The sequence below is a fragment of the Homo sapiens genome, chromosome 10 (genome assembly GCF_000001405.40).
Source record: "Homo sapiens chromosome 10, GRCh38.p14 Primary Assembly".
NCBI lineage: Eukaryota > Metazoa > Chordata > Mammalia > Primates > Hominidae > Homo > Homo sapiens.
Genome location: NC_000010.11, coordinates 77246704 through 77259569, shown reverse-complemented (window position 1 = coordinate 77259569; position 12866 = coordinate 77246704). Strand labels below are relative to the sequence as shown.

The following is a 12866-nucleotide window of genomic DNA, read 5'->3' as shown; positions in this document are numbered from 1 at the left end:
GAAATAAAGCCAGAGAGGAGGAAAAGACCAGAGCTTTCAGGGCCTTGTGGACTCTGTCAAGGATTTTTTTTTTCTTCATACCAAAAGTTATGGAGGACATTTGAGGTGATTTAAGGAGGGATTCTCTCCGATTTACATGTGTGTCCTAAGAATTCAGTCCATTGCACACAGAGTATGGCTTCATAGTATTGCACTTTTGGAAGCACCAGATCCTAATGCCTGTAAAATCATAGAGATTTTTACTAGGTTTCCTTACATGTGAACAAATCAGTTTTACTCTTATCTGGCAATCCCATGCATTTTATTTTAATGCTATAATCCCAAATACCAACTACAAAGCCCCTCTTTCTTCTTCCTTTCTTTCATCTTGAATACATCTCTACTTAATCCGTTGTTTGGAGTCTTGGTTTCCAGTGAATCAATTTACAGCATTTTTGTGCATGTGCTTCCATAAGTCAAATGTGATGTTTCATAGTGCTAGCTTGGTAATTTAGGGGACCTATGGATGATTAAATGGCTCTGCAGAAATATTACAGATATTTTTAAATGTATGATAACAAAAATCCTTTTTTGGTGGCAAGATTATATATTATATATATATTTTTTTGAGACAGAGTCTCGCTCTGTTGCCCAGGCTGCAGTGCAGTGGCGTTATCTCGGCTTGCTGAAACCTCCGTTTCCTGGGTTCAAGCAATTCTCCTGCCTCAGCCTCCTGAGTAGCTGGGATTACAGGTGTGTGCCACCACACCCAGCTAATTTCTGTATTTTTAGTAGAGATGGGGTTTCACCGTATTGGCCAGGCTGGTCTTGAGCTCCTGATCTCAAGTAATCCACCCGCCTCAGCCTCCCAAAGTGTTGGGATTATAGGCATGAGCCACCGCACCTGGCCTATATCTTCTTCTATTGAGAACCATTCATGACTTAGGAATGACAAGAACATATCAACTATACTTGCTAAACAGTAAAGAGAAAAAAATCATTTTCTTTTTCCCTTAGGAAAACACTGAGACTCAGTCTGAGCTTCTGGAAGGCTAAAGCCTGCAAAAACATGGGCTTTTCAAAGCTCACAGAGGCAAGGAGAGGGAGGCGATGGGTCAGACCACCACTCAATTTTCTGTAGTGATGGCAGAGCTGAGACCCAGACTCAGGAGAAAGCTGATCCATGGCCCTTCTATGTCTTGTGTTAGTTTTGTGGGATGACATTCTGCATGAGCAATTGATTGTGCTGCTGGAAACACAAACTATGAATCTGAGTGTCTATGGAGTTTATTCTTGTGATCTTATGAAACAAGTCTCCTGCATACAGATTTAGGGACAGGCATATTGTCAGCATGTTGAATCAGACTTATGTATACATGGTTTACAGTTAGCATAAGTGAGGGCTACCTTTTCAAGCCAAAAGTTTTTAGTTCCTACCAAGGTCCCATCTCATAATCATCTGTTTCAATCTCATTATTTCACAGATTGGGAAACTTAGACCCAGAGAGATTAGGTGACGTGCTTAAGAGCATGTTGCTTATAGGGGCAGAGTGGAGATTCACACCCAGGTCTTCTGTGTCCTGTGCTCTTCCTTCTCCACATCACTCATCCTGTGTGCCTGGTTATATTAGTCCGTTTTCACACTGCTGATAAAGACATACCCAATACTGTGTAATTTATAAAGAAAAAGAGGTTTAATGGACTCACAGTTCCACGTGGCTGGGGAGGCCTAACAATCATGGCGGAAGGCAAGGAGGAGCAAGTCACATCTTACATGTTGGCAGGGAAGAGAGAGAGCTTGTGCAGGGAAACTCCCCTTTATAAAACCATCTGATCTTGTGAGACTTATTCACTATCACAGGAACAGCATGGGAAAGACCCGCCCCCATGATTCAATTACCTCCCACCAGGTCCCTCCCACAACACGTGGGAATTGTGAGAGCGACAGTTCAAGATAAGATTTGGGTGGGGACACAGCCAAACCATATCACTGGTGTCTGTCCTTTCCTAGAACAGCCAGGTGGACTTGGAATGTCAAAAATTCTTCTTCCTTTTTCCTTGGTTTTCCATTTCTCACTTTCTCTCCCCGTTCCACTTTGGGAGTCTGAAATGAGGGTGGTGTTGCTTCTCTGCCTGATCTGATCCTTCCTTTATATCCTGGAGATGACTGTTGATATGTGTAGCGCTTCTTACATTCAGAAGGGACTCTTGAGTAATTTAAACTTCTAGATCCCATGCTCCCTGAGGGCAAAGGCCAGGCCAGACTTAACTGTTTCAGTTTTGCATTTCTCTGTCTCTCACTCTGGCCCTTGTGCATAGGTGTTCAATAAATGTTTGTTGGCATTGTTATTAATAAATTCACCAGGACAAAAACATTATAATTTAGATGTTGGAATGATATTATCTCTCAAAAAACAAAATGTCACCAGATTGTTTTGCCTTGGGAGTTCTCACATCTATTTTTTTCTTTTTTGTGTGTGTGAGACAGGGTCTTGCCTTGTCACCCACGTTGGAGTGTAGTGGTTTGATCACAGCTCAACTGCAGCTTCCACCTCCCAGGCTCAAGCGATCCTCCTGACTCACCCTCTGGAGTAGCTGGGATTATAGGCACATGCTATCATGCCTGGATAATTTTTTTAAAGTTTTTTTTGTAGAGATATGGTCTCTCTATGTTGCCCAGGCTGGTCTCGAACTCCTGAGCTCAAGCAATCTTCCTGCCTTGGCCTCCCAAAGTGTATTTTTTAATATAGTGGATTTTATTATATGTAAATTATATACTTCAATTTAAAAAGTCCTATGCCTTTGGGATCATATATAGAAAATTGTCCATTTTCTGAGAAGGGTCTCTGCCTTCAGTAGGCAGATAAACCCTGATCAAACATGCAGAATCATTAATTAGGGTCATTTGTTCTGCTGTGAGCTGAGAAGAATGTGTAAAACCTGCTCAGGAGAGAATTAATTCATCCTCCTCTCTGTACTTTTTCTAGTACTCCTAGCACGATTCTCTAAGCCTGCAGGCCTCATACATATGTTCTAATGGGCTAATTGTTAAGGCGACATTTGTAGATTAATCTCTGACTTGAGCTAAGTGGTTTCTCCTAATGGCTTTAATTCAGTGACTCCCATTGTCAGATTCACTGGAGGAGCTTGTTAAAAAGAGGTGCCCAGACTTCCCCTCCCCCAGCTCATGATTTGCTGGCCCTAGGGTGGGATGAGGGCATCTCTGCTTTGGAAGGAAAGCTCCTCAGGTGACTGGATTCTGGTGGTAGCCACCTTTGTGAGCCTTGGCTCTGAATCTGCCTCCCAAGGCCGTGAAGCCTCACACACCCGCTGAAAGCATATGGGCCTAATTGCAGCAACTCCAGTCCAGGTTCTAGAACAGGAAATATTTCTAAGAGCCAGCTTTCCCAACTCAATCACCTCTATACTCACATCACTGAATCTGCCTTTTTCCTGAAGTGCTCCATCACCTGAGGGGGAATAGTCTATGCTTGGCTGTGCTATTGTCCATTTTCATGAACTTTCATGAACCTTGTCAGACATTTGAAAGATCTTCATGGTCCACCGGGATTTTCATCTAGCGAGATGGCTATGGACTTCCCCTCTCTCCTCCCCATTTTGCACCAGGCTCCTTCTTTGCATCAGGTGTTAGGGACAGATTTTTTTTTTTTTTTTTTTGAGATGGAGTCTCACTCTGTTGCCCAGGCTGGAGTGCAATGGCACCATCTCGGCTAACTGCAACCTCTGCCTCCCAAGTTCAAGAGATTCTTCTGCCTCATCCTCCTGAGTAGCTGGGAATACAGGTGAGCGCCACCATGCCTGGCTAACTTTTTATATTTTTAGTAGAGACAGGGTTTCACCATATTGGCCAGGCTGGTCTCGAACTCCTGACCTCGTGATCCCCCCACCTCGGCCTCCCAAAGTGCTGGGATTACAGGTGTGAGCCACCATGCCCAGCCCACTTTTATATTTTTTTATTTTGCTTTTTTTGGAGACAGAGTCTCACTTCGTTGTCCAGGCTGGAGTGTAGTGGCATACTCTTGGCTCACTGCAACCTCTGCCTCCAGGGTTCAAGTGATTCTCCTGTTTCAACTTCCCAAGTAGCTGGGACTACAGGTGTGCACCACCACAACTGCTAATTTTTGCATTTTTTGGTAGAGCCAGGGTTTCACTGTGTTGGACAGGCTGGTCTAGAACTCCTGGCCTCAAGTGATCCACCTGTCATGGCCTCCCAAAGTGCTGGGATTACAGGCATGAGCCACTGCACCCTGCCCTTAAAAAAAAATACACCGTGTATGTGTGTTCCTGGCATTCTTTTGTGCAAACACATGTCTTGTTTGATCTTGGAGTTTTGAAAATAGATGACTCAAACACCATTGTTCCAATGACATTTATCAAATTGCTTTTGTTTTTAGGAATCTGGCACACCGAGTACTCAATATCTCCACACAGTATATGGGTGTTTTCAGTAAATCTGAGAAGGTGACAATTCATACTGTCCAAGATGGCTGAGGTAATTTGTTGAGCTCAGACTATGGCAAGTTTAGCAACCAGGACAGGCTCTCAAGCAAGCTAGCAGAAGTGCCCTAAGAGGCAATGCTCAAATTATCTGTGTATCACACTGCTGCCCCCAAGCCCTTGTGTGGGACAATGCTTTGTTACATGCTTGGTTATTGTCTTATTCTATGACTCAGCTGCTGTAGGGCAGGGATGCTTTGCTTTCTGGGGTACTGTGCTTTCCTTGGCCTCATTTTACCATGTCCCTTGGGCTTCTGTCCTCCTTGTCCCTGAAACTATAGAAGCTTGCAAAAGGATTCCCAATGGCCTCAGCCCTTCGTGAAGAGATATTAGAGTAGTGGTACTATGTAGAAAGGAAGGACATTTTGGGAAAGGAGAGGATATTGAGATAAGGGCCCTACTTTTTCTATCTTTACCCAGTTACTAATGATCCATCTAGGCAATAGTTCATTTTATATTGGCTAAACCTGTACTATATGATTTATCACTAATTGCATAATAGCATGGGATTAATCTACAGAAGAATGACTCTATAAAAAAGAGTATATTTTGCCAGGTGCAGTGGCTCATGCCTGTAATCCCAACACTTGGGGAGGCTGAGCCAGGTGGTTCACTTGAGGTCAGGAGTTTGAGACCAGCCTGGCCAACATGGTGAAACCCCCTCTCTACTAAAAATACAAAAAATTAGCCGGGTATGGTGGCAGGCACCTGTAGTCCCAGCTACTTGGGAGGCTGAGGCAAGATAATTGCTTGAACCTGGGAGGCAGAGGTTGCAGTGAACTGAGATCGCGCCACTGCACTCCAGCCTGGGCGACAGAACGAGGATCTGTCTAAAAAAAAAAAAAAAAGAGTATATTTCATGACTCCAAGTGGCCTCCCATCTTCTGTTTTTCTTGGGCCTTATGTATAGGATATGTTAAATACTTAGGTGACTATTTGGGGTGCTCTATAATAATACCATTACCATGCAGACTAAAATGTAATCATTTTGTGTTTTCAAACTTAGAGTTCTCAGACAATGGGGATTTGTTAGAGAGATAGAGAAAGAGAGAGACTAAACTGACACTTCTAAGGTGGCTTTGCTAGGGGCCTAGAGAAGACAAGTCTCTGATGGGGATTCTATTTTCATGGCCACATCCAAAGTATTGATGTGTTTTCTGCAGCACCTGGATCTGGGCTGACAATGTGATCAAGCCTGACACGATAAAGAGGCATTTAGCAAGTTTCAAGACTACGTGCACAGTTACCTTAATACTGAGAGGCAGATCATCTCCCCAGGGAGCATTTCATCGTACATCATGGGGCAGTTTGCCTATCCTGTATCTCATTGAGAGGAGGCCTTCCAGCTGAATACGTGGACCCAAATGCATGTCCATTCAACAGAGTCTTCAGGGCCAGGGAGCTGTGGAGGTTATTTCCCTCCTGGATTTCTTCCCTCTCTTACCCTATCAGAGAGATGCTGATATTTGAGTTTTCATCTTCAGAGGGTAGCAGGATTCCTGGCCTCCTCCTGTCACTGGCTGATTTGCTTAAATAAGGAATGCATTAGTCCCCATCACTGACTCCAAGTGGAGGCAGCTGGAGCAAATTAGGATCAGCTACATTGGCCATCTGGATGCTGCGAAATCATTGCCATTGCAGGGGTCTTAGATTTTGAGTTCCTTACAGAATGATGTAGATGCCATTTGCAAGGGCTTCTTTCCAGTCCTTTTCTGCAACAGTGGCTTTGGGTGGCATAGGCCTATATAGCCAGCTCTGACAGATGCTCAGCATTCACAGATACACACACAGGGAGCCAAATGGACAGGGATTAGTCTTAAATCAGCTGTTTATGAATGGAGAAGAGGCCCTTCTCCTGGGTTCTGGCCACACCCCTTCTCTTTGCAGCTTTTTGAGAATGAGGTCAGGGCCAGGATCTAACTGCTTATGCCTCAGAAATAGCAGCACAGATCAAAATTAATCTTAAGCTTTTTGTTTTGCTGCCTCCTTTAGATAATAGAGGAAAAAGCGAAGGCCTGCTCATGTTTTTGTTTGCTTGTTTTTGTGTGTACCTTTGAAAGGAACATATGAATGAATATGTGTGATGGGAGGGGTTGAGGTGAGGCAGCTAAGAGGGATTAGTGCTGGGCGGGTGATAATTACTGATAGACTGCAGCATTCAATTGGAGCATGTTTTAGTTGTTTTTTTTTTTAAATGGCAGAATGAAATAAACCTCAGTGGTGTATTGTTTTAGCACCTCCCTTTATATGGAGATTTTATCAGTTGCTATGAAACTGCATATTCCTTTTACAGTGTCCAATTGTTTTTAATGGTCATTTTCTGGGCTGTGCAAGCCACCATTCTGCCCCAGGAGCTCCATGCAGTTTTGCAATGCTTTAAATGAGTATCTCATGCAGATTTCATTTTCTGTCAGCCACTTTGGCACACATAAAAAATACAGGAGTGTGTGTGTGTGTGGGTGGGTGTAAAAGAGAGAGATTCTGTCTCTCATACATACACAGGCACACGTGCCCGCACACACACACACACACACACACACACACACAAAGCTTGATCATGCTTAGTCTTTACATAAATTGGGATTCCTCTCTACCCACCAGCCAAGGCCTGAGAGATGTCAATAGATGGACACTGAGGAGACTGACTTCCAATGCCCTTCAGCCTGCAGTCTCTTCAGGGTATTAGCATACCTGGAAAGGTTGACCTAGCAGCCAGGCATTGTGTGTAATGGTGGTGCTTACTTTTTATTCTCAGGCTTAATTGTTGGCTGAAAGCATCTTCTTTATTTCTGACTATCCTTTATTTGCATTAATAGTCTCCTCTGTGAAAGATTAAAGAAAGTAGAATGTGTACTGAGGACAGAAGTGTCAGTGTCAGCCTAATCTGCTACATATTCATTCTATGGACCTTAGCATGACAGGTATCCACTGAAGGAGATGCCAAAACTGTCTTCCATCCATGGAGATTAATTTTGAGTGAAGAGTGTAAAGTAGGACAAGGATTGTCACATAACTGGCCTAATGGATTGCCTAATTGACTTCCTGAACTGGAACTACTTTCCTAAATATTTCAGAAGTGTTCTAATCATATAGATCATACATGCAGTGAATATATCTTTATGTATGTCCACACATACACACACGGACATTTGTACGAGCAAATTTGTGATCTTCAAATTGGTATCTCTTATGTAGTGACAGAAAGTAGATTAGTGTGGTCTGGGGCTTGGAAATGGGAAAGGGGATTGATTTAACAGGCATGAGGGATCTTACTGGGATGATGAAAATGTTCTGAAACTGGATTACAGTGATGATTGCATAACTTAGTAGATTTACTAAAGTCATTGATGAATTGTACTTTTTAAATGGGTGAATATTGTGGTATGTAAATTATGCCTCAATGAAGCTGTTAAAGTTGATATTCCTCTATTGGAGTTCCTGCAGATCCTAGACTACATATAATATTAAAAATTGTATCACCCTAAATTTTCACCTGCTTTTTTCCCACTGAAGTTTATCAACTACAATTGCAGAGAAGCTGGACTTCGAGATAACAGGGTCAGATAAAAACCCAGTGCCCTGAGACATAAAAGGCTACCCTGACCCCTATTGGCAAGGAGCGAGGTTGCTGCCCATTGCTGTATGAAGAGCCAAACCTGAAGCAGTAATGGGGGGCTGGGGATGAGGGTGAGATTTCCAAGCAGGTCCCCAAGGGCAATGGGCACCGTATTTCAAAGCTGCTTCGGTATGTGTCAAAAAACCCAAACATCCTGAGGTCCAACTCTTAAGTGATGGCATTCTCCTCTTCTTTTACAGGTTGTCTTAGTCTTTGCTCTCAGCATCGGTGCACTTGTAATATACTTCATAGATTCATCAAAGTGAGTATTCAAATATACTTTCTTGCCCTCGTTTCATAAACAATCATGAGCCTTTACATTGATCCATTTATTTACCTTGACACCAACCTTTGCAAGACCTTCTGAGTGCAGAAGATTTTGGAGGAAGCTAGTGCTGTACTGTACTGATTTTCTAAATGGGAAAGAAAGTTCTCAGAAGGAAGGCTATTTTGAGTCTGCTGGCATAGGAGGGTGAGGTATATGAGGTCAAGTCTTCTTGCTGGGTATTACTTATTTTTAAAGAGCTGTTTCCTAATGATGTATTTGCACTGAAGATGTCAAGTAGTTAAGATGACTTGATGGGAATTTGCAACTTCTGGGAGGGTGACAGTTTCCCACAGATGAGGGTCTGAGCCATTCTTGCTATGGTTGTAGGATCCTTTTCTCAATTGGGTTTCCAATGCTTTGATCTTACTGGAGGTCAGATTAGAAAGCATGATGCTATCCTTTCACCTGCCAATCGGGTATTCAGCTGAAGCATTGCACGCTGGTGCTTCTTGACTTGTGAAGGTAAGGAGATGGATGGAGGAGTTCATCATGACCCCCAGAGGTGGAGGCCCTGGCCATTTGAGGACTTCTAGAGTGGACACTCATGCAGACTCCTTGGGTGCCAGCCGAATGGACTGGTGCTCCAGAGTGAGCCTGGGTGACAGATGATAAAGACCTTGCAGAAGGATGAAGAGGGCACAGACTAGAACTGCAATGTTGCAGCCAGTTCTGCCCTGATTCCTGCAGGTGCCAACCCTGAGGAAATAATTTGTTCCAACTATACTATTGCAAATCATGAAGTTGATGGCATCTGGGAAACAAGCTGGAGTCTAACTCATTTTCTGTTGTGGCGTGAACTTGGCAACTCTGGTGACAATGGCCTTGAGCTTGTTGCCTTTATTGTCCACTGTGTGAGTGTTTTGAACTTTAAACTCTATCCCTGGCATGGTTGGCTACTAGACTTTGATACTAGGAAACCTGCTTGGTGTGCCTGTTGGCTCAGACTCTGGTGTGCCTGAATTCTGAGCTTAGTGCTCCTTTCCTGTGGCTTGGGATGGTGGTAATTTCATGCACAGCTAAACTCAGAATTTCTCAGAGCCATCTGGTCACCGGCCAAGGATTTTGTGCATTTGGGTGGAGAGGCCAAAATGTCAGTCAGGGAAAACAAAGCAAATATCTCCTTTAATAACCTGTCTCTGGGAATCAGCCAAGTTTAAGCCTATCAGAGGTCCTTCAGCCCACCCCACATGCGAGGCTGGGCTGCCCTCACCCATCTCAGATGGAGAGTCCTTTAAACGCTGTCAGGAGACAAGATTCCACATGCTCCCTCCATCAGCTCTCCCGAGCCAAGAAAGAGAAGAGCTTGTTTAAGTTTGGAAGACTCCCATTGGCATGTCATTGAAGGTAAGCCCCCTTTTAAATATTTACTGTTAATGATTCTGGATCCTATTTGTATTGAACTGAAGATCCTCTAAAGCCCCTGGTCTTATTTCTCCAATCTCTCTCCAGGGGTGTTCTTACATGTCGTGGGGTGCAGACCCTGCCAACTTCCATGCTGAGACTCAGGAAAGAGGTTTGGGCTTGAAGCTTGTATGTCCCAGAGAAAGAAAACCCTAATGTGGAGGTGAGTGTGTTGATGGGTTAGAAGTCCAGATGCCTCAGCCAGCACCTTCCTTCCCTTTTCGTTTTTTTATTTTTTTTATTTTTTTAACCTTTTGTCCCTCTGTATTTCTCAGAAATAAAATGCTCTTTAGATGGATTTGGATTGTGTCTTTTTTTACAGTCTACTATGAGGCAGTCTTTTGTTCTGTAGATCCTGGTGTTCTCTGTTTCCGTGTGAGAAGATGAAAAGGAATGAAATTCCCCAATGCACCCTCTTCCCCTAATGTCCTACACCATCTCAATGTCCTTTGGCTTTAATTGTGATCCTTCTAGGCCTTGGCGAAGATGGCACTGGGAGTCCTCTCTGATTCTGGTTTCTTTTATGAACTTGCAAATAGTCTATCCCAAGGATGGAACTTCAGTCCTGTCCTCACCTTTTCCTGGCAAAAATGCCCATAAGGTTAGAAACAAGGCTATTCCCATTCTGCCTGAGGACTGTCGTAGCCTCATCCCAGCTTTAGCCTTTCTTCTCTGTTGCTAAACTGTGTGATTTGGCATAGCAAGGCTTTGTTTATAAGAAGACCTTCTGGTTATTTATATAGAAACTTTTCATTTTCATGACTTCATTTTGTTCTGAGAGCATATCCGAAGATTCTGTCCGGTGGCAGGCCCAATCAGTGGATTCAGCACAAGGGAGTTTTCCATCTTCCTTGGGAAAGACGGCAAGCAAGCTCAGTTTTAGTTTGGGAGAGAATTAGTGTAGAATCTCTAAAGCCATCTCTATGGTAAGTCCATAGATTTCCAGGAATAAAACACAGTGAAACCTATTAAAAAATTATAATCGAGCTTAGTGAATGAGAAAAAAAAATGAAGTTCTATCCACATATAAGATGCAAATGGAAAGAAAGTGAGAAAGTAGAATGTACATTCTTAAAATCCATGTCTTTCATTCAAAACTGTTACCAGTTTTACACATTCATGGTTTGGCTGGCCATCTGGGTATTTTGGAAAGACAGCTTTAAACTTCTCGTGGAAGTTATACTAAATCATCACCCTGGAAAAAAAGCACCCAGAATTCTCCAGATGAATTGTAGCTAGTATTTACACCCTTCAAATAAATGAATCAGGGGACAGTCTATAGGCTTTCCCACAAGTGAATCTAAACCAACAGACATGCGTGAAATGGCTTGTCTCAGTGAATTTTAGCCAGAGCTGCCCCTCCCCTCCAGAATGCTGAGGACTATCCTGTAGCACAAGTTTGAGATTCCAGGCTCTCTGCACCCAGCCCTTTGAAAAGTGCAAGGAATGCCGATTAATGTATAAAACAGGCTCCCTAGGTCTGCTGGACCAGCTATGTCTCGAGGCAGGCCAGCTCCAGTTGTGCAAGTGGACAAGCAGGCTAGGTAGTTATTTTACTTCTGTCCATTAGCAATACAGCTCAGAGAAAGGTCATCATTGGTGGTTTATGATCTTTTTAACCTTTTAAAGCTCTTTTTACTATCCAGAGGTGATGGATAAGTCACTTCCAAAGACAGCTGCACACCTTTCATTTTTGGCCATTAGGCAAAGACAGATCCCAGCATAGGGCGTTTTCTTTGGGTCTGATCTTAATGAACCTAGGGTGGTTGTGAGGGAAGACTCATTTGTGTAGCTGCAAGTGATTACTATCTGGCTAAGACAGATTGTCCTCAGAGCTCCTGGAATTGAAAACCAAAGATAATTACGTTAAACCTTACTAAAATTATGCTTTATCATCCCAGCAGTAGACTCTCTAGAAACACCCAAGCAGAGGAAGATGCCTCTGGACTGAGTCTTTGGTCAGACATCATGTTAGTGCCTTAACAAGCACAGACAAGCATTGAGCCCTCCACACACCATCTCCCCAAAGATCTCCAATTAGCCACACGAGGTGGATTGTGTACAAAAAGCTCCCTTTCTTTTGCATTCTTTTTAAAAGGACTCCTGCCCAATTTATGTCACACGTCACTTTAGTTCCTAATTCTGATGTCTCCCGACACCAACGCCAACCCTGTCCTCCCACATATTCTGATCCTTGTGAAGCAAAGATTTTTTAGAAATTGTACAACCAAGTCAAGAGTGCCTGCAGACGCCCTGTGGGTGCTAATGTCACCATTGCTGCTTCCATCCTTGTCTATTTCCTCCCTTTGACACAAGAACAGCAATTCTTATCTAACAGATAAGGAAAAAAAACAAAGACCCACCAGTGTCAGCATGAGAGCGAGATTCATGGATTGCATAATGCAGCAGTCCCTGTAGCTTTCAGAATTTCAAGAGAAAGTTGGAAGAGACAGAGGCCCAGAGCTCTGGGTATTTGCATTTTCACCAGGGGCATTCTGGGAAAGGATGACTCACATGTGTGAAGATATTTATTCCTTTGATTCATGTTTAAACGCTGCTACTTCTTATGCTACGGTTACGCGGATTATGAATATTTAATGTGGCGTATACTGAAAATGAAGGTCAAGTCCTGCTCACTGGTGACTTCAATGCAGGCTCTTGTCTCTGAAAGGGAAGCTACCTGCTGTTTGCAGAGTAAAGCTGAAAGGTTATACGTTGTTAAATGTTTCCTTAATGACTTTATCTGCTCCAAAATGGCTGGCACACAATGGGGGCACTTGCTGATTTTGCCAGTCTTTGCTCTTGGCTTCTGGTATCAGCACTGCTGTTTTGGGGATATGGACGTTAGGAAGGAGCAGGAAATGGCAGCACAAATTTTGTAGAGCATCTCATCCAAGGGCACAATTGCCAAGGCAACAGTGGGGTTACGATTGGAAAATGGCCTCTCCCCAGTCTTTTAAAATGTTACTTTTGCATCCACTCACCCATTTATTCATTTTGTATTCATTTATTAGTTTGTAACAT

The 12866-nt window shown here is 43.3% G+C and overlaps 1 protein-coding gene across 56 annotated transcripts in view; it reads left to right on the top strand.

Annotated features, from left to right (window-relative positions):
- The window catches only part of KCNMA1 (potassium calcium-activated channel subfamily M alpha 1), a 768207-nt gene that overhangs the window by 378239 nt on the left and 377102 nt on the right, over positions 1–12866 (top strand). For 55 of the 56 annotated variants that reach the window (NM_001271518.2, XM_017016222.3, XM_024447990.2 and 52 more), the window contains one exon: positions 8314–8375. In NM_001271518.2, coding sequence (NP_001258447.1) covers positions 8314–8375 — 62 coding nt within the window. Of the gene's footprint in view, positions 1–8313; positions 9786–9890; positions 10141–12866 lie in introns of those variants that run through there. The other variant, XR_007061964.1, reaches the window with a different exon arrangement.